At 43.8% G+C, this 26,563-nt stretch overlaps 1 long non-coding RNA gene and 1 pseudogene across 4 annotated transcripts in view, besides 3 other annotated features; both read left to right on the plus strand.

The window, feature by feature from the left end:
* Positions 5,399–5,718: an enhancer, noted in NCBI's record as "active region_26426". NCBI's record gives its function as "activates an Ori minimal core promoter by ATAC-STARR-seq in GM12878 lymphoblastoid cells {active_cell/tissue: GM12878}" and the evidence as "EXISTENCE:reporter gene assay evidence [ECO:0000049][PMID:35858748]".
* Positions 5,705–26,563, plus strand: part of LOC100630923 (LOC100289561-PRKRIP1 readthrough) — a 62,822-nt gene continuing 41,963 nt past the window's right edge. The window contains 4 exon segments of the long non-coding RNA NR_038967.1: positions 5,705–6,255; positions 7,799–7,920; positions 17,667–17,793; positions 18,056–18,166. This is a non-coding gene — a long non-coding RNA (LOC100289561-PRKRIP1 readthrough).
* Positions 5,727–22,477, plus strand: LOC100289561 (uncharacterized; annotated as a pseudogene). Of its 3 annotated transcripts, none has more exons than NR_171051.1 (5): positions 5,727–6,255; positions 7,799–7,920; positions 17,667–17,793; positions 18,056–18,166; positions 22,329–22,477. The product of NR_171051.1 is annotated as an uncharacterized LOC100289561, transcript variant 1 (transcript). The 3 variants fall into 3 exon arrangements; NR_171049.1 differs by having other exon boundaries at positions 7,818–7,920; NR_171050.1 differs by having other exon boundaries at positions 5,727–6,050; positions 7,862–7,920.
* Positions 5,799–6,018: a silencer, noted in NCBI's record as "silent region_18502". NCBI's record gives its function as "represses an Ori minimal core promoter by ATAC-STARR-seq in GM12878 lymphoblastoid cells {active_cell/tissue: GM12878}" and the evidence as "EXISTENCE:reporter gene assay evidence [ECO:0000049][PMID:35858748]".
* Positions 6,239–6,488: an enhancer, noted in NCBI's record as "active region_26427". NCBI's record gives its function as "activates an Ori minimal core promoter by ATAC-STARR-seq in GM12878 lymphoblastoid cells {active_cell/tissue: GM12878}" and the evidence as "EXISTENCE:reporter gene assay evidence [ECO:0000049][PMID:35858748]".

Raw genomic sequence — 26,563 nt, forward strand, 5'->3', positions numbered from 1 at the left:
AACATGTTTAAATCCATCTCTACTAAAAATACAGAAAAAATGAGCTGGGCGTGGGGGTGCACATCTGTAATCCCAGCTACTTGGGAGGCTGAGGCAGGAGAATCACTTGAACCTGGAAGTCAGAGGTTGCAGTGAGCCAAGATTGCATCACTGCACTCCAGCCTGGGTGACAGAGCGAGACACCATCGCAAAAAAAAAAAAAAAAAAAAAAAAAAATGGCTAAACAGCCCAGGTTTGGTCTGATATGTTCAGAAAAAAGCAAAACAGTCACCTCTCACCTTTTCTTTTCCCGCAGTGATGCAGTTGCATACAACAATGGCTGTAGGTATGCTGCAGAAATATCATTCAAGTGAAACGGAAGGGCTTTCCTGGCCAGACACAGTGGTCACTCCTGCAATCCCAACACTTTGGTTGGCTAAGGTGGGAGGATTTCTTGCGGCCAGGGGTTCAAGGCTGCAGTGAGCTGTAATCCACCACTGCATTCCAGGCTGGGCATCAGAGTGAGGCCTCTCTCTAAAAAAAAAAAACCCTTCACTCCCCAAAAAAAGGGATTTGCAAATACCAGCCTTTCAGCATGAGGATCACATGGAGGAACATTAAGATACAGATGCTGGGACCCAGCCCTATTGATTGTAATTCAGAAACTGAGGTGGGGCCTGATTTAGCTCCATCATTGGAATCCATTCAGATTTGAAATTCTCTGGGTTGGACAGTTCAAGAGAGATCCTAAAGAAAGCAAAATCACTATGGACTGAAATGAGCAGACAAGGTTTTCTGAGCATGGTGAAATATGATCTGGGCCTCACTTGGGAGGGCTGTGGCCAGGCCTTGAGTCCTTGGCTCAGTGGGACCTTCTGAAACAGCCTCCAAGCTGCGCCCCTGCTTCCTTTGCTTTTGGATGACCCCCTCTAGCAGCTTTGGTGCTGATGGGAATAAGTCGACCTGCAGCGGAAGTTCAGCCCAAGTCTCAGCCCAGCAGCCTCCCCAAACCTGGCCAGGGTCTGGTCATGCTGCCATCTCTGCAGTTCTCTGTGGAGTTGTGGTTCCTGTACCTTGAAGAGAACTTCCCCTTCTGGGACCCAGAAACCCAGTGAACCCTCAGGAAAAAAGGGAATGAAATTACTGAAGACAACTCTGTGGCAGGGAGAGGGAAAAGAGGCTCTTTGTTTTTGTTTTTTATTTTTTATTTTTTTATTTTTTGAGACAGAGCTTCACTCTTGTTGCCCAGACTGGATTGTAATGGCTCAATCTCGGCTCACTGCAACCTCTGCCTCCCATGTTCAAGCACTTCTCGTGCCTCAGCCTCCAGAGTAGCTGGGACAATAGGCACACACCACCACACCCAGCTAATTTTTGTATTTGTAGTAGAGATGGGGTTTCGCCATATTCCCCAGGCTGGTCTCGAACTCCTGGCCTCAAGTAATCCACCTGCCTTGGCCTCCCAAAGTGCTGGGACTACAGATGTGGGCCACCGTGCCCAGCCCTCACTGTATGGATTTTCTGAAAAAAAAAAAAAAAAAAAGATTACATTTGTCTTACTTGCCAAAAGGGAAATTAACCTTATCTCCTCTCCTTTTTAAAGAGTATTTCCTTGATAAACCTTGTAATATAAATAACTTCTTTTGTGCCTTTGATATGTACCTAAATCTTTTAAAAAGGTAAATGAACTTCTTGCCAACCTTACAACCCAGGAATTTTTTTTTTTTTTTTTTGAGACAGAATCTCGCTGTCACCCAGGCTGGAGTGCAGGGGTATAATCTCGGCTCACTGCAACCTCCACTTCCTGGGTTCAAGCAATTCTCCCATCTCAACCTCCTGAGTAGCTGAGACTACAGGCATCTGCCACCACGCCTGGCTAATTTTTGTATTTTTAGTACAGACAGGGTTTCACCTTGTTGGTCTGGCTGGTCTTGAACTCCTGACCTCAGGTGATCCACCAGCCTCGGCCTCCCAATGTGCTGGGATTATGGGCGTGAGCCACCGTGCCTGGTCACAATCCAGGAATTTTTTTCTTAAGAGCCTAAGAGTCTTGTCTTTGAAATGTAAACCTGGAGGAAAATAGTGTCCCTATCTTCCTGTTGCCTAGGGAGTTTAGCCTAGGCACCTTGAGCTGTTACTACCTGCTTGTCAAGGAGATGTGAGAAGTTTTATTTTTTCATTGGATACAGGTAATTAACTAGCATGGATGGCCACGTTGATTTCCAGGTGAATTTAGGATGAGTGTTTAAGAATGCATAGCAGGCCAGGCGCGGTGGCTCACACCTGTAATCCCAGCACTCTGGGGGAGGCCGAGACGGGTGGATCACTTGAAGCCACACAGAAATCGAAAGAAGGAGTTTGAGTCCAGCCTGGCCAGTATGGCGAAACTCTGTCTCTACTAAAATACAAATATTAGCTGGGCATGATGGCACATGTCTGTAATTCCAGCTACTTGGGAGGCTTAGGCACGAGAATCACTTGAACCCAGGAGGTGGAGGTTACAGTGAGCCAAGAAGATCACACCACTACACTCCAGCCTGGATGACAGAATGAGACCCTGTCTCAAAAAAAACAAAACAAAAAAAACTGCATAGCAAGTCCTTTTGCATGAGGATGAGTTACTATTTATCTTGAGAGCATGTATGCAATGGATTGTATCTGCCAGGCTATATAAAAAGGACGCTTTGGCCGGGCGCCATAGCTCACGCCTATAATCCCAGCACTTTGGGAGGCCTAGGCGGGCGAATTACGAGGTCAGGATTTCGAGACCATCCTAGCTAACATAACGAAACCCCATCTCTACTAAAAATACAAAAAAATTAGCCAGGTGTGGTGGCACGCGCCTGTAGTCTCAGTTACTTGGGAGGCTGAGGCAGGAGAATCGCTTAAACTGGGGAGGCAGAGGTTGCAGTGAGCCGAGATGGCACCACTGCACTCCAGCCTGGGCGACAGAGCAAGATTTTGTCTCAAAAAAAAAAAAAAAAAAAAAAGGAGGGTTTATTTCTCTTTGCATCTCATTAATGGATCACCTGTGATGGGCATCACAGTCTGGTTTAATGCTTATTCAGTAATAAAATTGTTTTCTTTATTTTCTGAATTTGTGGAGAGAATATTCTAGGTTAACAGAATAATCTATTTATTTACTTATTTATTTTGAGATGGAATCTTGCTCTGTCTCCCAGGCTGGAGTGCAGTGGCCTGATCTCGGCTCACTGCAATCTCCGCCTCCCAGGTTCAAGTGATTCCCCTGCCTCAGCCTCCCAAGTATCTGGGACTACAGGCACACACCACCACACCCAGCTAATTTTTTGTGTTTTAGTAGAGACGGGGTTTCACCATGTTGGCCAGGATGGTCTTGATTTCCTGACCTCATCATCTGCTGACCTCGGCCTCCCAAAGTGCTGGGATTACAGGCGTGAGCCACTGCACCTGGCCTCAGAAGTATTTATTTTTAGTCTTTTCCTTACCAGTTTTTATGAAACAACTGGGCAAGAACACTGTTAGATTTCACCAAAAAATTGTGATGAATCATTGTCTTTATGATCCCATTTTTGAAAATTGACATTTTAATTGTAAACCAAAAATAAAATTCTAAGCCCCCACAACTGACTCAGTGGACTCCCCTGTTGGCCAACAGGATCCAAAATAAACATGGAAAACTAATTTAGGTCATGATGGGAAGGAGGGGGTTGGACATGCCTTGTCATAATTCTCCTCCCGTCAGAGTTTAGGCACAGCTGACCAACATTATGATCTCTATTAGAATAGAGATCATAGGACTGACAAAACAGGCTCTTTTTATCAGTAAGATACCCATCTCCAACCAGACTCTGATATAGCATCACATGACAGATAGCAGTCCCTGAAGTAAATCACAGTATTTTACCCCGTAACATATTTTCTTTGACAAACTTTAAAATAGTCCTGCAAAGCCATCTCTTTGGGGGAAATTTGCATTCTGTAGAGAATCTCTTTCCCTTACAGAAAAGACTCCAGGTCTTTTCTGGAGAGTCTGACACCTTTTAAGATCCAATAAGAGATATTTATCATCTATTCTCTCTGAAGCCTGTTCTGAGGCTTCACCTACATAACAAGAACCTTGGTTTCCACAATCCCCCTTATCTTAACTCAAACTTTTCTTTCTTTTTTTCCCTCCCTCTTTCTTTTCCTTCCTTCCTTCCTCTCTCTCTTTCTCTCTCTCTCTCTCTCTCTTTTCTTCTCTGTTGCCCAAGCTGGAATGCAGTGGTGCCATCATGGCTCACTGTAGCCTCAACTTCCCAGGCTCAAGCGATCCTCCCATCTCAGCCTCCTGAGTAGCTGAGTCTACAGGCATGCACCACCACACCTGTATAATTATTTTTTTTGTAGAAGTAGGGGGTCTCGCTGTGTTGCGCAGGCTGTCCTTGAACTCCTGGCCTCAAGGGATCCTCCCAGCTCACCCTCCCAAAATGCTGGGATTACAGGCATGAGCCACTGCAATGGCCCATTTCTTTATGTAGTCTTCCAGCTGTTCAGCCAACACTTAACTCTGAACCAACTGCCAATCTTTCAATCTACTAGTGACCTGAAAGCCTTTCCTGGCTGACCCAACATATACTTCCCATGTATTGATTTATGTCTTTGCCTGTAACTACTGTCTCCCTAAGATGCATAAAACCAAGCTGTAACCCAACCACTTTGGGCTCACGTTTTCAGGACCCCCTGAGGTTGTGTCACCAGCCATGGTCACTCAAATAGGAGGCCCAGAATAAAACTCTTTACAGACTTTGACTCTTTTTGGTCAACATAACCTAACCCTAAACATAATCCTCCTGGGGAAGGTAAGATCACAGGTATCTCTTCTTCATTCAATTTGTGTGTGTATGTCCTTATTTCTCTACAGTTTTTAGGCATTCACTGTGTGATCTAGAAAAGCTATGGAGTCTCGCTTTGTCGCCAGGATGGAGTGCAGTGGCGTGATCTCGGCTCACTGCAACCTCCACCTCCCAAGTTCAAGTGATTCTCCTGCCTCAGCCTCCCGAGTAGCTGGGATTACAGGCACGCGCCACCACGCCCAGCTAATTTTTGTATTTTTAGTAGAGACAGGGTTTCATCATGTTGGCCAGGATGATCTCTATCTCTTGACCTTGCGATCTGCCCGCCTCGGCCTCCCAAAGTGCTGGGATTACAGGCTTGAGCCACCGCGCCCAGCTACAAATTCTATTTTCTTTTTGTTCCTTGGAAAGCATCGCTGGGCATTTATCCTGTCCCAGTATTTGAGTGAAACTTCTCAGCATTTCAGAGCAGTGACCATGATACACCCTTTCCTTTCCTTCTCCTTATGGGAAACTTGGTTCTAACCCAGAGGACTTGGGCTCCAGGACCCAGTAACGCAGCCCTGGACTTGACCCTAAAAGGGAGTAAAGACAAAGGTGAAGTTCAGTCCGGGGTTCAGGGTTGCCAAAGCTCATAGCCTGGAGCTTCTTCACCTTTAGGCGGGGTAGAGACATTTAAAATGGCCCCTAAACTTGGAGGGCGCGTAAAGCTCATAGGCTGGAGCTTCTTAACCTTTAGGCAGGGTAGAGACATTTAAGACGGCCCCTAAACTTGGGGAGCGCATAGGCTCATGGGAAATAGAGTCCGTTACTTGTCCTGGGACCGGTGGTGGGTGTCCCGGGAGGCGGACTTCCGGTGCACTCCTGCGCGTGTGCACCTCTCCCTGCGTGCGTGTTCGCGCGTGCGTGCTTGCACATGCGCGCCACCTCCGCACTGCCCTGGCTTCCTGCGCCTCTTCAGGTCATCGCTTGCTCTCGTTCCCAGGCTTTGGCCTCTAGTGGACGAGAATCACCGAGTCTGCGGGGCTGGACGCTGACTGCCCGGGCCAGCACCTAGGCGGGCGGGAGCTGTGCGGCCCAGGGTTCACGCGGGCCGGGTAGAGGCTCGAGCCGGGACCCCCGAGCGTGAACCCCGGAGCCGGCGGCGCTGGGGCCAGAGGGGCCGGGCGGGAGGTGGTGGCGGAGGCGAAGGGGCGACGGGACCTGGGCCTGGCCCGTGTGTGTCCTCGGCGGCCTGGCGCCGGCCGTCGCTGTACGGTGAGCCCCAGGGAGGCGGATCTGGGCCCCGAGAAGGACCCCCGCCTGGATTTGCCCCGTAGGCCCGGCCCGGGCCCCTCGGGAGCAGAACAGCTTTGGTGAGGTGGACAGGAGGTGACCTCGCGAGCAGACGCGCGCGCCAGCGACAGCAGCCCGCCCCGGCCTCTCGGGAGCCGTGGGGCAGAGGCTGCGGAGCCCCAGGAGGGTAAGTCTTGGGTTTTTGGGCCCGGAGCGAGAAGGGCCTGGGTGAAGTCACCGTGTGTTGGGGACCTTAGAGTGTGGGGCAGAGGGAGGGTCCCGATTGCTTGCCGGAGAGACATGTGTTGGGTTTGAGGGCAGGGTCTGGCTGCACCGAACAGGCGCTGCATGGGAAGATCTGGGAGGACGAGGCTTACGGAGGCGTGGAGGGTGTCACCACCCTCAGCTGCGGACGTCGTCTCCACTCCCCGCTAACCCCTAACAGTCCTTCCTCCTCCTCTCCGTGCTCCAGATTTGGACCGCCTTTAAACGTCCGTCAGCACTTCTATTCTCTCACTTAAGTGTCTGCTGATCCCCCCCTTAGATCTGCCCTGGGAGAATCGTAGTAATGCAGGAACAGTCTGCAGGGATTCTCTCCTGCTGCCTCAGTTGCTAGGGGAAGAGACTGGGCCTTAGCAGGTGGGTGACTTGACCAGGTCACCGGCTTTGTGGGTAGAGCTGCTCATAGTAGAACCCAGGAGACTTATCTCCCAGGCCAGTGTTCTTTCTCCCGTATCCTAGTTTTCTTAATAGAAGATTATTAGGTGCAGCAATAACCAAGTTCAGTTAGATAATTTAGAAACAAAACCATATTTTATACACATTCATTTCATTTCTGAGAGCTCACATACTCAATTCCTATGGCTTATTTTATTTTAAGCAGTTTAGAGAGACAATAAGAAAATGCGGGCGGGATGCAGTGGCTCACACCTGTAATCCGAGCACTTTGCGGGGCTAGGGCAAGAGTATCCCTTGAGACCAGGAGTTAGAGACCAGCCTAGACAACATGGGGAGACCCTGACTACAAAAAATACAAAAGTCGCCAGGCATGCTGGGATGCATCTGTGGTCCCAGCTACTCAGGAGGCTGAAGTGGGAGGATGGATGGAGCCCAGGAGGTCGAGGCTGCAGAGAGCCGTGAATGCACCACTGCACTCCAGCCTGGGTGGCAGATTGAGACCCTGTCTCAACAAACAAACCACAAAAAACATGAGCCGTATAATGGGAATTTTTTTTCTTTTTGCACCTTGTATTTGATGATGATGGCAGACTATTTGTAAAAGGAGTCGTGTTACCCATGAGAGTCTAACTCATCTAATTACTACCTGATTATCTTAGAGTTACAGGCGCATGCTTCCCTATCACTCTTTTTTTTTTTTTTTTTTTTTGAGACAGTGTGTCTCACCCAGTCTGGAATGCAACAGCGTGGTCTCGGCTCACTGCAACTTCCACCTCCCAGGTTCAAAGGATTCTCGTGCCTCAGCCTCCTGAGTAGCTGGGACTACAGGCATGTGACACTATGCCTGGCTAATTTTTTTTGTTATTTTTAAGTAGAGACGGGGTTTTGCCATGTTGGCCCAGGCAGGTGGATCACTTGAGGCCAGAATTTGAGACCAGCCTGGCCAACATGGCGAAACCCTGTGTCACTCTTTTAGACCCTTCTGAGTGTTTGCAGGTTGAGTGTTCACAGGGTGTTAGCCTATTGAGCTTTCTTTTGTGGTTCTTATGCAGGTGATTTCTGCCTTTGCAGGCCGGAGCCCTCATGACTTCAGTGACCTGCTTCTGCCCCTCTAGGTCTATCAGCCACAGTCTCTGCAAGTTTCCAAGAGCAGCAGAAAATGAACACATTGCAGGTGAGTTTTCCTGCTTGTGTATATGTTCCTCAACTTTATTTTATGATGCATTTTAAGAGGTTTGTAAGGATTCATACTTTTTTTTTTCTTTTTTTTGAGATGGAGTCTTGCTCTGTTGCCCAGGCTGCAGTGCAGTGGCATGATCTCGCTTCACTGCAACCTCCACCTCCTGGGTTCAAGTGATTCTCCTGCCTCAGCCTCCTGAGTAGCAGGGATTACAGGCGTGCGCCACCATGCCCAGCTAATTTTTTGTATTTTTAGAAGAGATGGGGTTTCACTATGTTGGCCAGGCTGGTCTCAAACTCCTGACCTCAGGTGATCCTCCCGCCTCAGCCTCCCAAAGTGCTGGGATTACAGGCATGAGCCACCGAGCCCAGCCAGGATTCATACTTTAAAATGGGAATGTGGAAATAGACATTATCCTGTAAAATATAGTTAGTGTGGCAGATCAGCACCAAAAATGATTTGTGAAGCTTGTATGTATGGGTAGTATATTTTAAGGCTGTTGAAATTGAGCCGCACCTAGGACTGATATTCTTGGCAGTCATCACAAAAGGAAAATGCCATCTGTATTAGTCCATTCTCACACTGCTATAGAGAAATAACCAAGACTGGGTAATTTATAAAGAAAAAAGGTTTAATTGGCTCACGTCTGCAGGCTCTATCATAGGAAGCATGGCTGAGGAGGCCTCAGGAAACTTACAGTCAGGTGAAAGGTGAAGGGAAAGCGGGTGCATCTTCCATCACCAGAGCAGGAGGAAGAGGGAACATTGGGGATTACAATTGAACATGAGATTTGGGAGGCGACACACACCGAAACCATATCACCATCCATGACATCGTTTGCATTGATTATAAGGAGAAACCAGTTTTGTTACTTGTGCATTTAAAAGATTTTCTAGGACTTGGAAAAATTTCTTCATTCAAGTTGATATAATTGTGGATAGCTTTCCTAACAACAACCATTAAATTACTGTAACTTATGGCTTATTCTCGGTGCTTATGTAAGCAGAGGGCCTGCTGCCCAAGGAGAACTTGGTGCATAATTTTTCCAGGGACGGAAATATCGTGATCCAAGTAAACAATTCTGTTTTTACTGTTGAGTCCTAGATCATGGGGGGAATGAATGACGTGATCATCCGTCAAATATTTGTTCGTCTTTTTGTTCGGGTTGCACAGCAAACAATACAAACAGTACTCTCTTGTGAAGATTTCCTCATTTCTGTTTCTCATTTCACTTCTCAGTGTTTTCGTTTTGTCCTTTTCACTTTGCTAAGTCAGTCAGTAAAGGTGACCAGTGATTTAATTGCAGTCAAATCCAGCGGGCATTTCCTAGCCCCTTCCTCACAGGACCCTTTGTCTGCCTTTGACATCCGTTACTTCCAAACTGATATTTTCTCCATGGAGTCTCTCTTTTCTTGGCTTTTGAAAAGATTCATCTGTAAGTATTTGTTTGTCTTTAAATGGTGAAGTCTGTTTTGTTTTGTTTCTTTTTTTCTTTTTTTGAGATAGGGTCTTGCTCTGTCGCCCAGGCTGGAGTGTAGAGACATGATCACAACTCACTGCAACCTCAATCTCCCGGGCCCACACGATCCTCTTGCCTCAGCCTCCCGCGTAGCTGGGACTACAGGTGCACGCTGCCACACCTCGCTAGTTTTTTTGTATTTTAGTAGAGACTGGCTTTCACCGTGTCATGCATGTCGAACTCCTGAGCTCAGGCAGTCTGCCCGCCTCGGCGTCCCAAAGTGTTAGGATTACAGGCATGCGCCACTGCTCCCGGCCTAGAAATGTACTCTCACTGTATTGCTCAGGCTGGTCTCAAACTCCTGGCCTCAAGCAGTCCTTTCACTTTGGCCTCCCAAAGTGGTAGGATTACAGGTGTAAGCCACCACACCTGGCCAATAAGGAATCTTTTTAAAAGGGGCTAGGAATAACCCATAATACTCTCTTTCTTAATACATGTGGCAGTTGGGTTAAATCTTTTAATAGTTCCCATAGTATGTCTCCTGTGTGCTTATTGTTTTGAAGAAACTGGGTTGGTTATCTTCAGTTTGGATTGTGTTACCCTTGTTTCACCTTTAGCACATTTTTAAAAAATATCTTTTATGCCTTGGTAAAATTGGTAGTTTGATCTGGAAGTCTAATCAGGTTTATGTTCAGTTCTTTTCACACAACTATACCATATGTGGCATTTGTCTACTTCTGGAGGCACGTGTTACCTTCTTTGTTTTTGTGAAGTTAAGAACTATTGACTGTTGATTATTGCTGTGATTTACTATTGCTGTGATTTGCCTTCATTAGGGGAGGCAAAATGGTGATCTGCTAATTCTACCATTTCTTCTTTATTTACTAGCCAAAATACCTTTCTTTTCTTTTTTTGGAGACAGAGTCTCACTCTGTCACCCAGGCTGGCACGTTTATGGCTCACTGCAGCCTCAAACTCCTGTGCTCAAGTGATCCTCCCACTTCAGCCTCCCAAGTAGCTGGGAGTATAGTCATATGCCACAATGCCCAGCGGATTTTTAAATTTTTAGTAGAGACAGGTTTCTCTATGTTGCCCAGGCTGGTCTGGAACTGGGCTCAAGTGATCCTCTTCTTTGACCTCCCAGTGTTGGGATTATAGGCATGAGCCACCACGGCTGGCCTAGAATACTTTTCTAAAGATAAATTTCTATTCTCTGTTTGTTTATGTAATTCATGCAGGAAAGACAGTTTCTAAAATATTGAGTAGGCTTTTAAGCAGGAGGGTATTTTGTTTTGTTAACCATCATGAGCTCATGGGTTTAAACAGATAGTAAATATTTCAGTACATAGAAGTTGTGATTCTTTTTGAAAATTAAGTGGTTCCATCTTTGGCCAGACGGAATCCCTTTAAGTTGGTTTCTGAGTCCTTTTGAGATATATTTGATATATATGATAGCAAATGTATACATATAATATATATTTGATAGCAAATATATACATATAATATATATTTGATAGCAAATATATGCATATAATATATATTTGATAGCAAATATATACATATAATATATATTTGATAGCAAATATATACATATATATTTGATAGCAAATATATGTATATATTTGATAGCAAATATATATAAATTTATATGATTTCAAAATAAAATGCTAAAGTGGTTCCATCTTTGGCCAGACGGAATCCCTTTAAGTTGGTTTCTGAGTCCTTTTGAGATATATTTGCAAAATATGATAGCAAAAGAGCACATATAAAAAATAAATGATTGCAAAAATGCACATATAATAGATATTAGATAGCAACAAAAAGCAGATAATATATAGTAGATAGCAAATATATACATATAATATATAGAAGATAGCAAATATATACATATATATTTGATAGCAAATATATACATATATTTGGTAGCATTATTTTCTATTTAGCATTTTATTTTGAAATCATTTCAGATTTTCAGAAAAATTGCAAGGATTTTACAAAGAAATCCCAGATACTTCCTTTTGTTCAGATACTTCATTCTTAACATTTTCCCACATTAATCATTTATATGCCTATATATGTATGTGTATATATATATTTATATATATATATATTTTCTGAACTATTTGAGAGTGGTATAAGTGTCAGCTTCTTTACCCTATAAATTTTAGATTAGAGCTCATAAAATCAAGAATATTCTATTAAATATCCATAGCACAGTAATTGAATTCAGGAAATTTATCATTGATTTAATACTTTTATCTAAACTATATTTCATTTTCCAGTTTTGCCAATTTCCCAATAATTTCCTTTATAGCAATTTTTAATTTTTGGTAGAAGATTCAGTCTAGGACTGTTAATTGCCTTTAGTTTTCATGCTTTTTAAGTCTGTTTAATACGGATTTGTTCCGCAGTGCCATTATAACATTTGCAGAATACAGGCCAATGATTTTATAGAAGTCTTTAAATTTAGGTTTCCCTGATCTTTCTTCATGATTAGATTTAGTCTGTGAATTTTTGTCTGGAATGCTACATGGAACCTCTTAAATTTATGGCTCAGAACAGGATCTGTCTTGGGAAAATTCTGTGCATGCCTGAGAAGATGGCTTGTTCTGCTCTGGTTGGGTGGAGTGTTTGATAAATGTTAATGAGATCAAGTTGGTTGGTTGTGTTGTTCAGGTGTACTATATCCTTGTTGATTGTGTGCCCACTTGTGTCAGTTGTGGGGGAGAGGGGATTGAAATCTGCTGCAGTTGTGGTTCTGTTTCTCTTTGCAATTTTACCACTTTTTGCTTTATGTGTTATGTTAGATACATAAATGTTCAAGGTTATTACATCCTGTTGATTAATTAACCACTTTGTAAAATGGCCTTCCTTATCCCTGCTAATATTCCAGGCTGTGAAATGTACTTTGTTATTTATGTAGCATTCTTTTGAGTAATACATGCATGGTATATCTTATTCCATCCTTTTATTTTTAACCTATTTGCATCTTTATATCTAAAGTATTATTTCTTATAGGCAGCAAAATTTGGATCTTGCTTGTTTTCATCAGTCTATTTCTGTCTCATAATTGGGGATGTATAGACTGTTTACATGTAATGTGATTATTGATAAAATGAGTTAGGTTATAGTCTGTTGTCTTTGCTTTCTTTTAGTCTCATCTTCTTTGTTTCTTTTTAAAATGTCTCTGTCTTCCTTCCTTTTGATTAGTTGAGAATTTTTTATGATTCTACTTTATATCTTTTGTTGGGTTTTTAGCTATGACACTGTTTTGTTATTTTAGTGAGTTAGAATTTATAGTATGCAACTTTCATTGTCATAGTTTATTCTTAAGTAATATCCATTTTTCTTAGAATAAGAGAAGCTTGTAATAGGACACTTCCATTTCTCTCCTCTTGGTCTTTACACCGTTGTTCATTTTATTTTTACAGGTGGTATCAGTGCCACACACTATCTATTACGTTGTTGTTAATTAAACAGTATTTATTTATTTATTTATTTATTTATTTATTTTGAGACAGAGTCTCACTCTGTCCCCCAGGCTGGAGTGCAGGGGTGCTATCTTGGCCCACTGCAACCTCTGCCTCCCAGGTTCAAGTGATTCTCCTGCCTCAGCCTCCTGGGTAGCTGGGATTACAGACACCCACCATCACGCCCGGCTAATTTTTGTATTTTTAGTAGAGACGAGGTTTCGCCATGTTGGCCAGGCTGGTCTCGAACTCCTGACCTCAGGTCACCCATCTGCCTCAGCCGGCCAAAGTGCTGGGATTACAAGTGTGAGCCACCACACTTGGCCCAGGTATCTTTTAAAGAGATTTAAGTAATGAGAGAAAATACACAGTTACCATTTCTGGTACTCTTCATTCCTTTGTGTAAATCTAAATTTTTATTTGCTGTCATTTTACTTCTGCCTGAAGGACTTTAACATTTCTTCTAGTTGATGATGAATTATTATATGTCTGCAAATGTCTTCATTGTGTCTTTGCTTTTAAAGGTGTTTTTGCTGGATTTTTCTCCACAGTGCTTTAAATATGTTTCTCTGTTGTCTTCCTGCCTACATTTTTTTCTAAGAGAAATCTGATCTCATACTCATGTTTGTTCCCCTATATATAACATGTCTTTTTTTCTTCCCCCCTTATTGTTTTAAACTTTTTATCACTAGTTTTGGACAATTTGATTGCAATATGTCATGGTATCATTTTTTTCATGTTTCTGTTTTGGGGATCATTGAACTTCTTGGATCTTGGGTTTATGGTGTCATCACTTGGGGAACATTTTTATCATTATCTCTTCAAGTACCCGCCACCTCCCCTCCATTGATTCTTGTTGCCTGTATATTAGGCCACTTGAAATTTTCCCACAACACACTGTTGCTCTTTATTTGCTTTTAATTCTTTTTTCTCTGTTTCATTTTATGTAACTTCTGTTGCTGTCTTTATATTCACTAATCTCTTTTTTCCACGATGCTGTTCATCTTTTCCAGTATAATTTTCATCTCAGATATTGTACTATCTGTAGAACGTTAGCGTGGGTCTTTTTTACATCTTGCCTGTCTTGATTTTTTTGAACATTTGGAATAGAACGATGAACTCTCTCAGTGCTCTGTGCCGGTTGTGAACTCTGTGTCAATTCTGGGCCAGTTTTGATGGACTGATTCTTTTCTTCCTTATGGGTTGTAATTTCCTGCCCATTTTCCCATCCCACAACTCTTTCTCCTCACATCTGCCTCGGTTCTTCTTCCCTGCTCCATGGCCTGGAAACGCTCAAGGCAGAAGTTGATTGGTTCACCTTATTTCCCATCACTCATAGATAACTCTACTGCCTGATAATCAGTGCCTTGAAAACCATTGCTTCAGCCCAGGCGTGGTGGCTCATACCTGTAATCACAGCACTTTGGGAGGCCAAGGCAGGCGGATCATGAGGTCAGGAGTTCAAGACCAGCCTGACCAACATGGTGAAACCCCGTCTCTACTAAAAATACAAAAATTAGCCAGGCATGCTGATGCATGCTTGTAATCCCAGCTACTTGGGAGGCTGAGGCAGGAGAATCGCTGGAACTCGGGAGACGGAGGTTGCAGTGAGCCAAGATTGTGCCATTGCACTCCAGCCTGGAAGACAAGAGCGAGACTTTGTCTCAAAAAAAACAAAAACAAAAACAAACAAACCATTGCTTCATATATGTTCTCCATTTTATTTTTCTTTCTGTTTTTGATTTTGTTGTTGTTCTTTGGTGTGTGCTGTTTCAGGTTGGAGGGTATATGCAGTACCTGTTAGTTTATCACACCTGAGGGCAGAAGTCCTCATGTCTCTCTCTCTCTATTTTTTCTAATATATATATTTTTTTCTTTGTAGAGACAGGGTCTTGCTCTGTTGCCAAGGCTGGTCTCAAGCTCCTGGCCTCAAGCAGTCCTTCTGCCTCAGCTTTCCAGAGTGCTGGGATTACAGGCATGAGCCACCACACCTGGCCTGGATCCAGTTTTATCCATGTCCAAATGGTTTTTTTCCCTGAGCTGTTTTTGATTTTCTTCCACCTCATATGAACTGTAGTGTCGGCTTATCTAGTTCCAGGAAAAAGCTTTTTGGTATTTTTATTGGGATTGCATATTTATAAAGTAATTTAGGGTAACTGATATCTTTGTATTATTACGTTGACCTTAATAATACAACTAATTTTTTTTTTTTTTTTGATTTTTAGTAGAGATGGGGTTTCACCATGTTGACCAGGCTGGTCTTAAACTCCTGACCTCAGGTGATCTGCCCGCCTCAGCCTCCCAAAGTGTTGGGATTACAGGCGTGAGCCACCGTGCCCGAGCACTTTTTTTTTTTTTTTTTTGAGATGGAGTCTCACTCGTCGCCCAGGCTGGAGTGCACTGGCACAATCTCGGCTCACTGCAAACTCCGCCTCCTGGGTTCCCTTCATTCTCCTGCCTCAGCTTCCCGAGTAGCTGGGACTACAGGCACCCGCCGCCATGCCCGGCTAATTTTTTGTATTTTTAGTAGAGACGGGGTTTCACCGTGTTAGCCAGGATGGTCTCGATCTCCTGACCTCGTGATCCGCCCGCCTTGGCCTCCCAAAGTGCTGGGATTACAGGCGTGAGCCACCGCGCCTGGCCGCCCGAGCACTTTTACTTTTCCTTAGTTATATTCCTCTAATTGTTTTCTCTTCTCTAGTTGTAGATAATGAGCATTTTATTAATACCTTGTTCTTGATCTTAATGGGAAGGTATGTAGTTTTTCCCTGTTAAGTAAAATCCTGACTTTTGGACCAAGAAGACTGAGGCATAAGAGTTTATGTGTGTGCGTGTGTGTGTGCACGTGCATGTGCGTGTGTGTGTATATACACAAACTATATATGTGCTTGTGTGTAATTGAAATACATATGTCACATATATATCATACGTACTACTGCATATTAGGGTGTAATATTTATATTTGTATATATACATAATATTGATGTTAATGAAGCATCCATCAGTTTCTGTTTTCTTTAGTTTGTTTTTTTAAATCAGGTTTTTCTGTCAAGCTTTTTCAAGTATCTTCATGGATACAAGATTTTTCTTCTTTGCTGTGTTATAGTGGCCTATCATATTAATAGGTTTCCAAATATTAAACTAGTCTATATTATTGGAATAAGTCCTATTTGTCTGTTGTATATTATGTTTTTAATCTGGTACTGGATTTTGTTTGGTTATGTTTCATTTTGGGTATTTGTATTGATATAAGTGGTATTGTATTGGCATGTAATTTTATGTTATTTATTGGCTGATCCATCTTCTAACCCCTCCACCTCCTTGCCTTCTGGACTAACTTAACCTAGAAGGTTATTACTCTCTCTCGGTGATTTTATCAGCTCCTGTGGCCTGCCTGTGGATAAGCTTGGATGTTCTGCTTTAGTTTCTCAGCCCACCAGCCTAGCGGCTCTGCCTCTGCTATCTCTTGGGATCTACATTGTCCTAGCTATATCACTGGGTTTGAACCCCTTGTTGATATCTTCTTTATAAATAACAGGATAATGCAACATGCTTACTGGGCACTTCCTTTTTCTAAACTACAAGTTTGGGCAGGGTATGCTGGCCCAAGACTGTAATCCCAACACTTTGGGAGGCCAAGGCAGGTGGATTGCTGGAGCCCAGGAGTTTTGCATTTTTCTTTTTTTTTTCTTGAGACAAGGTCTCGCTCTGTTGCCTAGGATGGAGTGCAGTGTCGCATTTACAGCTCACTGCAGCCTTGACCTCCCAGGCTCAAGCCATCCTCCTGCCTTAGCCTCCCAGGTAGCTGGAACTACAGGCATGTGCCATGATGCCCAGCCAATTTTTAAAAAAAATTTTATTTTTAGTAGAGATGAGGTTCTTACTATGTTGCCCAACGTGGCCTCGAACTCCTGAGCTCAAATGATCCTCCCATCTCGGCCTCCCAAAGTGCTAGGACTATAGGCATGAGCCACCATGCCCAGCCCCAACCTCTTAAAAATTGAAGCTGCTTCATGTTTGCCATTGGTACTTTTTACACCTCATCATATTCTTCTTCCCCTTCATCCCATAGAATACACAATTCATCTTTAAGGACTTCAAGTTAACTGAGTCTGTGAAGCCTAACTGATGGCATAAAGTTAAAATAATTTGATCCTCTTTTGTTAAATCATTCTGCACCTTGTCTGCATTACTCTAATAACAGCTTTGGGCATTCATTCATTTAATGAATATTTATTGCTGTGAGATTGAGATGTTTGAGATAAAACTCAGCCATGCAGATAGCCAGAGGCCACTGGCTATGAGAATAAAAAAGACAAAAGAACAAGGAGCTGAAACTAGGTGAGAGCCCCAGAGCAGTGAGTTAGGAAGAAGAAGACCAGGAACTGAGTGGTGGGCACTCCAACATGAAGAGGTCCAGGAGAAGGGGAGGGCCTGGCAGCAAAGAAGTGACAAGGAGTAAAATGCTTGTGTTTGTTTACATGTTTATCTCCTTATTAGGTTGTCTGCTTTCTCAGAGCAGGCATGGTGTTTCACTCATCTCATGTCCCCAAAACTCAGTTCAGTTGCAAAATAGGAGCTCAGTTGTGTTTTGGGTTTTTATTTTTGTGGGGTAATATATATTTTATATATATATATCCCCAAAGGATATATGTTTCCTGTATGATTTCCAATATGATTTCCCTTCCATAATCTGTAACATAAAATAAGGTATACAATGTTCATGGTTAACTTTACGAGTGAGCTTTGTAAAATGATATCCCCCTATCCCTTTTCCATATCTCCCAATTCTGATCATGTTGCCATTACAGGGGCCAGTGTCATTCAAAGATGTGGCTGTGGATTTCACCCAGGAGGAGTGGCAGCAACTGGACCCTGATGAGAAGATAGCATACGGGGATGTGATGTTGGAGAACTACAGCCATCTAGTTTCTGTGGGTGAGGATAGCTTGCTTTCTGAATGCTCTCAGTTGAATGGGGTTTTATCCTTGAGTTTGAAGAAATAAGTGATGACACCATTTAATTCCTTGTGGGCACTAGCTGGAGCGTTTATATTATTCTTCATTGAAAGGTTCTAACTTTGATAAGGTAAAAAATGGAGCACTTCTGTTATGCAGCTTATGAGGTGGCAACATCTTGTACTTTGGAGATTCTGAAGCCAAGCAGCTTGCCCAAGTCCTTCTTCTTTTCCCATTAACAGGGTATGATTATCACCAAGCCAAACATCATCATGGAGTGGAGGTGAAGGAAGTGGAGCAGGGAGAGGAGCCGTGGATAATGGAAGGTGAATTTCCATGTCAACATAGTCCAGGTAAGTTAGTAGATTATCACATGTTAAAAAACACTCATCCCCGACCTTTGGGAGTGACTAAAGAGTTGTTTATATGTACTCGGTACCCTCAGTAACACCTCCCAACCCCCAAATATCACTTTCCTTCCCACACACATACCACATACATGAACTCTTTTGTTGATTTTACATTTGATTTACATTGGTAGGGATTTTTTCATTCTAACCTGTACTGGGGACCCAGTCACTTCCTCTTTCTCCAGCATTATCGCTCACTTATTTACTCCCTCGCCATTAGAGAATTGTTGTGAGTTTTTTGTTTGTTTGTTTGTTTGTTTGTTTTTTGGAGACAGAGTCTTGTTCTATCACCCAGGCTGGTGTGCACTGGTATGTTCTCGCTCACTGCAACCACTATCTCTCAGGTTCAAGCGATTCTCCTTCCTCAGCCTCCTGAGTAGCTGGGATTACAGGCACATGTCACCACGCCTGGCTAATTTTTGTATTTTTAATAGAGACTGGGTTTCACCATGTTGGCCATGCTGGTCTTGAACTTCTGGCCTCAAGTGATCTGCCCACCTCAGCCTTCCAAAGTGCTGAGATTACAGTCCTGAGCCACTGCTTTCGGCCTTACAGAATTGTTTTGTTTTGGGGCATTCAGAAGTCTGACATAAAAATTAACTTGAGACTTTTAGGTTCATTCTTTTAATCTTCCATTTTCTTTCCTTCCTTGCTTTAAAAATACCTTGGACTTATTTTCTGCCCTCGATTTTATTTACTTCTTTAGGCATTCAGATACCAAAACCTCGTCCTCTACCTATGCTTGCGAATTGAGTCACAGCTTGTGGTTTACCTTATTTCCCCAAGTCCATGCTCAGTTGATGTGATGATATAGCGCTCCCTCAGCTTTCCCCTCTTTCCCCAGTGCTCATTTATGACCCGTCTGTGTGTTCATTTCCCCTTCCCCATAACTGGCATCATGCTCTGTCCATAGTAGACATTCAGGAAGTGTGAATTTCATAAGGGAATGTTGGTTCCTTTTCTTGCCTTTTCAGGAGTGTCCCCCTAGAACCCGTTTTCTACTTTTTTGGTTTTCTTTGTATCCCTTAAAAGAGTTTTTCTAATCTCAACTTCTAAGACCTTTTTTCTTGTGTATTTTTGCAGTTTGCCTCCAGATTGATATGTCTGACACTTTTAACCTAGTTGAATATTTTACTTGACAACATAGCAGTACCAGTGAGATAGTTCACTTCCTTCTTTCTCAGAATGTCTGATGATAAACTGTGCACATTCCAAAATCATGAATTCTGTCTACCTTCCTCACCTCCCAGTATTTGATTGTGTTAGTCTCCTCTCCATTGTTTGTGTTCTTTGTCTTCTGTGAAATGCCTTGCAGATCATCAGCACATTGTTTCTTTTGACATTAGTGTTCAGTATTCTCCCATACCTGGATTACAGTGGATCCATCTTCCATTCAAAGGATCATGGTCCTTTTCCTTCATCTGCATTTTACTGGCCCAGATAATATATATTTTCCCTCCCTTTCTTCCTCCCCTCCCCTCCCTCGCTTCCTTCCTTCCTTCCTTTTTGAGATGGAGTCTCACTCTGGTCACCCAGGCTGGAGTGCAATGGCATGATCTCGGCTCAGTGCAGCCTCCCCCTCTCAGGTTCAAGGGATTCTCCTGCCTCACCCTCCCAAAGCAGCCGGGATTACAGGTGCACACCACCATGCCTGGCTAATTTTTATATTTTTAGTAGAGATGGGGTTTCACCATATTGGTCAGGCTCGTCTCTAACTCCTGACCTTGTGATCCGCCTGCCTCATCCTCTCAAAGTGCTGGGATTACAGGCCTGAGCCACTGTGCCCAGCCTATTTATTTATTGAGACAGAGTCTCACTCTGTCACTGAGGCTGGAGCGCACTGGCGCAATCTTGGCTCATGATAACCTCTGCCTCCCAGGTTCAAGTGATTCTTGTGCCTCAGCCGCCCGAGTAGCTGGGATTACAGGTGTGCACCATCATGCCCGGCCTATTTTTGTATTTTTAGTAGAGACGGGGATTCAGTCTGTTGGCCAGGAGTTCACTCTGTTGGGCTCCTGGCCTTGTGAGCTGCCTGCCTCAGCTTCCCAAAGTGCTGGGATTACAGGCGTGAGCACTGCACCCAGCCCCCTTCATTTAATTTTAAATTGTGGTTAAAAAAAGAACCTAACATGGCCGGGCGTGGTGGCTCATACCTGTAATCCCAGCACTTTGGGAGGCCGAGGCGGGCAGATCACGAGGTCAGGAGATCAAGACCATCCTGGTGAACACAGTGAAACCCCATCTCTACTAAAAATACAAAAAAATTAGCTGAGTGTGGTGGCGGGCACCTGTAGTCCTAGCTACTTGGGAGGCTGAGGCAGGAGAATGGCATGAACCTGGGGGGCGGACTTGCAGTGAGCAGAGATCGCACCACTGCACTCCAGTCTGGGCGACAGAGCGAGACTCCGTCTCAAAAAAAAAAAAAACCACGTTTGACCTAGCCCAAAGATTCCAGCACATAAGAACTCCAGGGAAATGAGTGGCTCACAATAAACCTAGTAAACCTATAAAGACAACTGGAATTAAAATGTGCTCAGGTCCTTGTAGAAGACAAGAAATCCAAAGGAAATCAAGCAAAGGGGGAAAAAGAAACAGAAAAGATAAAATGAATGTACCAACTCAATACTAGGCCATAAGGCTAAGTCTCCATAAATTTCTTTCTTTTTTTTTTTTTTTGAGACAGAGTCTCACTCTGTTACCCAGGCTGGAGTGCCGTGGCACAATCTCAGCTCATTGCAACCTCTGCCTCCCGGATTCAAGCAATTCTCACGCCTCAGCCTCCCAAGTGGCTGGGATTACAGACAAACGCCACCACATGCAGCTAATTTTTTTATTTTTAGTAGAGACAGGGTTTCAGCATGTTGGCCAGGCTGGTCTCAAACTCCTGGCCTCAAGTGATCTGCCTGCCTCAGCCTCCCCAAGTGCTGGGATCAAAGGTGTGAGCCACTGTGCCCAGCCCCTACATAAATTTCAAACACCACATTCCCTGAATACAACACAAAAAAGTTAGAAATCAAATAATGAAAATATAACTAGCAAAATTCTGTATGTTTGAAAATTTTAAATATTTTCCCAGAAACTATAAAACTACATGTTAATGTGGATAAATCTCAAACAATCTTAACTGAAATAATTAAATCACAGAAGCCTGAATAATGGATTCATTTACATAATTAAAGAACACATTCATAGTGGTAACACTATAATGAAAGATGAGAAAGATTAACACAAAGTTCACCCTAGTGTTTACCTATGGGTAATAAGGGGACTGTGAGGTAGGGTAGAAAGAAGGTACACAAAGGATCTCTACAGCACTATTAATGTTTCACTTCTTGAGCTGGGGCTAGAGATCTGGGTAATCATTTCATTTTTATTTTTTAAACTACATATAAGCTTTGTACACTTTTGGATATTAGAACTTCAATAAAATTATAAAAAAGAGAAACAGGGGAAAAAGTATAATTGTCAAGATGGAGCTAAAAAAATAACATGGGTGAACAAGGTGCCACCCACATGCAAGCTTCCTTCCCATGTCATGTAATGCCTCTCCTCATCTGCTCCATCAATCAATAAAGGCATAATCACTCCTGTGATACCTTTAAGAAAAGAACACACTCTCTCAAAGCTGGGTGCAGTGGTGCACGCCTGTAATCCCAGCCTCCTTTGGGAGGCCGAGGCGGGCAGATCACCTGAGGTCAGGAGTTGGAGACCAGCGAAACCCATCTCTACTAAAAATACAAAAATTAGCTGGGCGTGGTGGTGCTTGTCTGTAATCCCAGCTACTTGGGAGGCTGAGGCATGAGAATCGCTTGAAACCAGGAGGCAGAGGCTGCAGTGAGCCGAGACTGTGCCACTGCACTCCAGCCTGGGTGACAGAAAGAGACTCTGTCTCAAAAAAAAAAAAGGAACATGCTCTCTCATTCAAGGTTACCCTTCTATCACTCCAAGGATTCACTCCATAATCTTATCTTTCTTGATATGTTACATTCACTAAAACGTTCACATCAAATCAAGTTTGTAGACACTTGTCCTTACCACCTTACAAAAAGTGAGATGGTATCAACAGAGGTGAGACACTGCTTTACCTGCATGTCACTTTTGGCAGCTTTCACAGCATTGAAAAGATCATTGGCTGGTGGCTCTGACTGTTTCCGGCTATGACGATGTACCACTCGGGACCCTTTCTCTGGATGTTTGCCATCTAATATGTATAAAAAGATCAGAAATATGAAAAAAAGGTAACAATGACATTAACACTTGGTCTCATCATTATCACACAAGTAGGCTTATGCTGCCACTTCCATGGCAGAGTCTGAGTTAGTCCTGAAATAATTGATTTTTATATTATGAAGTTTATTAACTTTTTTCCCTTAAAAAAAAAAAGTCCTTGAGTCCCCTTCCTGTATCCCTATATCCTAACGTCCTTTTCTCTTCTTTTCTCTTCAAAATTTCTCTTCTTCCTATTTCCGTCCCTTAACACTTTGTAAATCTTGTCCTTTTATGAACCATATCACCTGAACCTCTTTTAGGTTTTTTTTTTTTTTTTTTTTTGAGACGGAGTGTCGCTCTATCACCCAGGCTGGAGTTCAGTGGCGTGATCTCGGCTCACTGCCAGCTCTGCCCCCTGGGTTCATGCTATTGTCCTGCCTCAGCCTCCCAAGTAGCTGGGCTGCTTCCCCCACAAGATTCAAAAACAAAAGAAAACTGGCTGACTCACCGGTGTTGCTTTTGGTGGTCGTTTTGCTGCTTTCTTCTTCACACTGTGATTCAAGCTGTCTTCAAAGTCATTGCCTTCATCAGCTAATAAAGAGTCAGTATTCCTGTGAGAAAGTACCGTTCTCTTTAAATATAACCACCCTAATTCCCTCCATATAAAAGGCTAATGAATTAGTTTCTCTGTCTCTCACTGCATCCCATCTCCATGAGAAAAACATATTCAGAATTTAAGAAAAAATGAGCTTATTGTTAGTAGGAAGTTGGGACAAAGTCTTTTTTTTTTTTTTGAGACAGAGTTTCACTCCTGTCACCCAGGCTGGAGTGCAATGGTGTGATCACGGCTCACTGCAACCTCCACCTCCCAGGTTCAAGTGATTCTCCTGCCTCAGTCTCCCGAGTAGCTGGGATTACAGGTGTTTCACCATGTTGGCCAGGCTGGTCTCAAACTCCTGACCTCAGGTGATCCACCTGCCTTGGCCTCCCAAAGTGTTGGGATTACAGGCGTAAGCCACCACACCCGGCCAGGACAAAGTCTTAAAGGAAAACTTTCACATGAAAGCAGTGGAGACGAAGAATGAGGAAATGAGGCACGGGAAGGACAACCCTTCCTAGTATTCTCTCCGAAGAAGAGAATCAAATGCTACTCACTTAGCGGGTAGAGAGATCACTGCTCTTTGTAGAGAAAAACAATCATGGCCCAGGAAGTCATCCATCACTCATCCATAAATGGGAGAGTAATATGGACCTAGAGTTAAATTTCACCCATGAAACATCAACCACATGTCATATCAATTCAAGTGTGTAACATTGATATAATCGGGTACACCACAGCAGCACTGACAGAAACAGAAATGATTCAGAGAAAGCCAATTAAAACAGCCAGGGGATAAAGCAGATCTGTATGACATTAGCTTTTTTCCTTCTGGAAAGATAAAAAACCAAGATATATTATTATAACCTACACAAAATAACCTCATATGTGGTAATAAATAAGGATACACAGACCTGTTTACAAAATCCCCAAGTAGAAGAACTAGGGGACACCAGATAAAAAGTTTATACAATTTACCAGGCAACAAGTAAAGAACTCTTTACTCACCCATCTGCCACCTCCCAGCCCCCACCAGGGGTTGTACATGCTGAACACAGAAATGTGTTTAAGAGAGGTTTAGACACGATGGATGATGGATTAAAAACAGGATGTGCTTGAACCCGGAAGGCGGAGGTTGCAGTGAGCCAAGATCACACCACTGCACTCCAGCCTGGGCGACAGGGCAAGATTCCATCTCATACAAACAAACAAACAAACAAAAAACAGGATGTACTACTATTTTGATGTCTACAACATCTAGGACCACCAAAAAAAAAACACCTGGAGCTGGAGGGAGGGTGTCACTGTGCTGAACGAGTACAGCACTTCTGGTGTATTCACACAGTCCCACGAATATTATCATCAATGTGGGAAAACGAGAGGGGGAAGGCTGCCACGGACACAGGAAGTGGCCGCACAATGCAACATCTACTTACCCTCTGAGGGATGGTTTGAGTCCCTGTCATCGAAGGGTAGACTGGCAGAGGAACTAGAAGATGCAGACAAGGCCCTCTTGGTATCTCCCACAGCTCTCTGCAGTGGGGAAGACATGCTTGGTGAGGAGGAGCTATGGGGCCAGGAAGACGACGACCGCAGGGTAGGTTTGGCGATCCAGCTGGGGAAGAAAGAGAAGAAAGGGCTCCTACCACAGCACTTCTCCATCCCCAGCCGTGAGCAGTCCCTTTCTTTGCAAGGGAATGGTTCTAGAACTCTGGGGTCGGGTGAGGGGGACCAAAAACTAAGACAAAGGCTGGGCACCGTGGCTCATGCCTATAATCCCAGCACTTTGGGAGGCCAGGGCAGGAGGATGGCTTGAGCCCAGGAGTTCAAGACCAGCCTGGGCTATAGAGCAAGACCCCATTTCTACAAAAACAATAATAATAATTAGCCAGGTATGGTAGCGCATGCCTGTATTCAGCTATTCAGGAGGCTGAGGTGGGAGGACTGCTTGAGTCCAGGAGTTCAAGGCTGCAGTGAGCTATGATCGCACCACTGTACTCCAGCCTGGGTGACAAAGTGAGACTCTGTCTCAAAAAATAAAAAAAATGAAAGAAAAGAAGACATTATGGGATGCAAGTCTGCAAAGCCTTAACTACAAACTAAAGAAACCAAAAGGAAAAGGAAGACTTTAAAATACAGGAGTAGAACCATCTCATTTTCCCCATAGTCCAATAGGTCCCTGCAATTGATCCCCAAATGCTTAAAACAAGGCCGGGCGCGGTGGCTCACGCCTGTAATCCCAGCACTTTGGGAGGCCCAGGGAGGTGAATCACTTGAGGTCAGGAGTTTGAGATCAGCCTGGCCAACATGGTGAAACCCCGTCTCTACTAAAAGTACAAAAATTAGCCAGGTGTGGTGTGAGTGCCTATAATCCCAGCTACTCGGGAGGCTGAGGCAGGAGAATCGCTTGAACTTGGGAGGCGGAGGTTGCAGTGAGCAGAGATCATGCCACTGCACTCCAGCCTGGGCGACGAGTGATATTGTCACTGTCTCCCCCTTGCTAACCTCCTAGGTGCTTAGGATAAAACGTCAAATATTTAACATGGCTTCACAGACATCTTGTATCATTTGGCCCCTGGCTACCTTACCTCACCCAATTTCCTCCTTTGCTCTGTACTCTAGCTACACTGTCCGAGGAGTTCCTAAAACATCACGCTGGGTCCGACCACAGGATCTTCACATGTGCTGCTCCCTCTATCTGCATCGCTCTTTCCTCTTCTCTTGTTTGCTTAACTCCTATTTACCCTCGGGCTTAATCAGCACTTTCTCACCTCTCCTAGTCTGTTGCTCTTATTTAAGATCAAACAGCAGAGAAATGTGAAGTCCACTGACTTCCGGGTGGAACAGGGTTCAGTATGCCAATTAAATTATTGGGTGCTGGCTGGGCACGGTGGCTCACACCTGTAATCCCAGCACTTTGGAAGGGCAAGGCGGGTAGATCACTTGAGGTCAGGAGTTTGAGAGGACAACATGATGAAACTCCATCTCTACTGAAACACAAAAATTAGCTGGGCTTGGTCGTGGGCACCTGTAATCCCAGCTACTCAGGAGGCTGAGGCAGGAGAATCACTTGGACGCACGAGGGGGAGGGTGCAGTGAGCCGAGATCGCACCACTGTACTCTAGCCTGAGCGACAGGGTGACTCCATCTCAAAAAAAAAAACAAAAAAAAAATTAGGTGCTGACTGAAAATAAATTTGAAAGCAAGGTGTATGACAGGGAAGGCTACTACCTGTGTAATATTCTCTTACTTAATGATTAGTCCTGAGTCATATTTCCAACCTCTCTTAACCAGCCTGTATTTGTACATTGTTTGTGTACAAGCTTGCTAATTTCCACAAATGACAGTAGGTTGTCTGCTCCAATAGGGCCAAAAATGCACCTACTGGATTCAAAGCTCAGTAAGGGCCAGGTGCAGTGGCTCACGCCTGTAATCTCAGCACTTTGGGAGGCCGAGGTGGGCAGATCACCTGAGGTCAGGAGTTCGAGACCAGCCTGGCCAACATGGTGAAACCCCATCTCTACTAAAAATAC

The sequence above is a fragment of the Homo sapiens genome, chromosome 7 (assembly GCF_000001405.40).
Source record: "Homo sapiens chromosome 7, GRCh38.p14 Primary Assembly".
In the NCBI taxonomy this organism is placed as follows: Eukaryota; Metazoa; Chordata; class Mammalia; order Primates; family Hominidae; genus Homo; species Homo sapiens.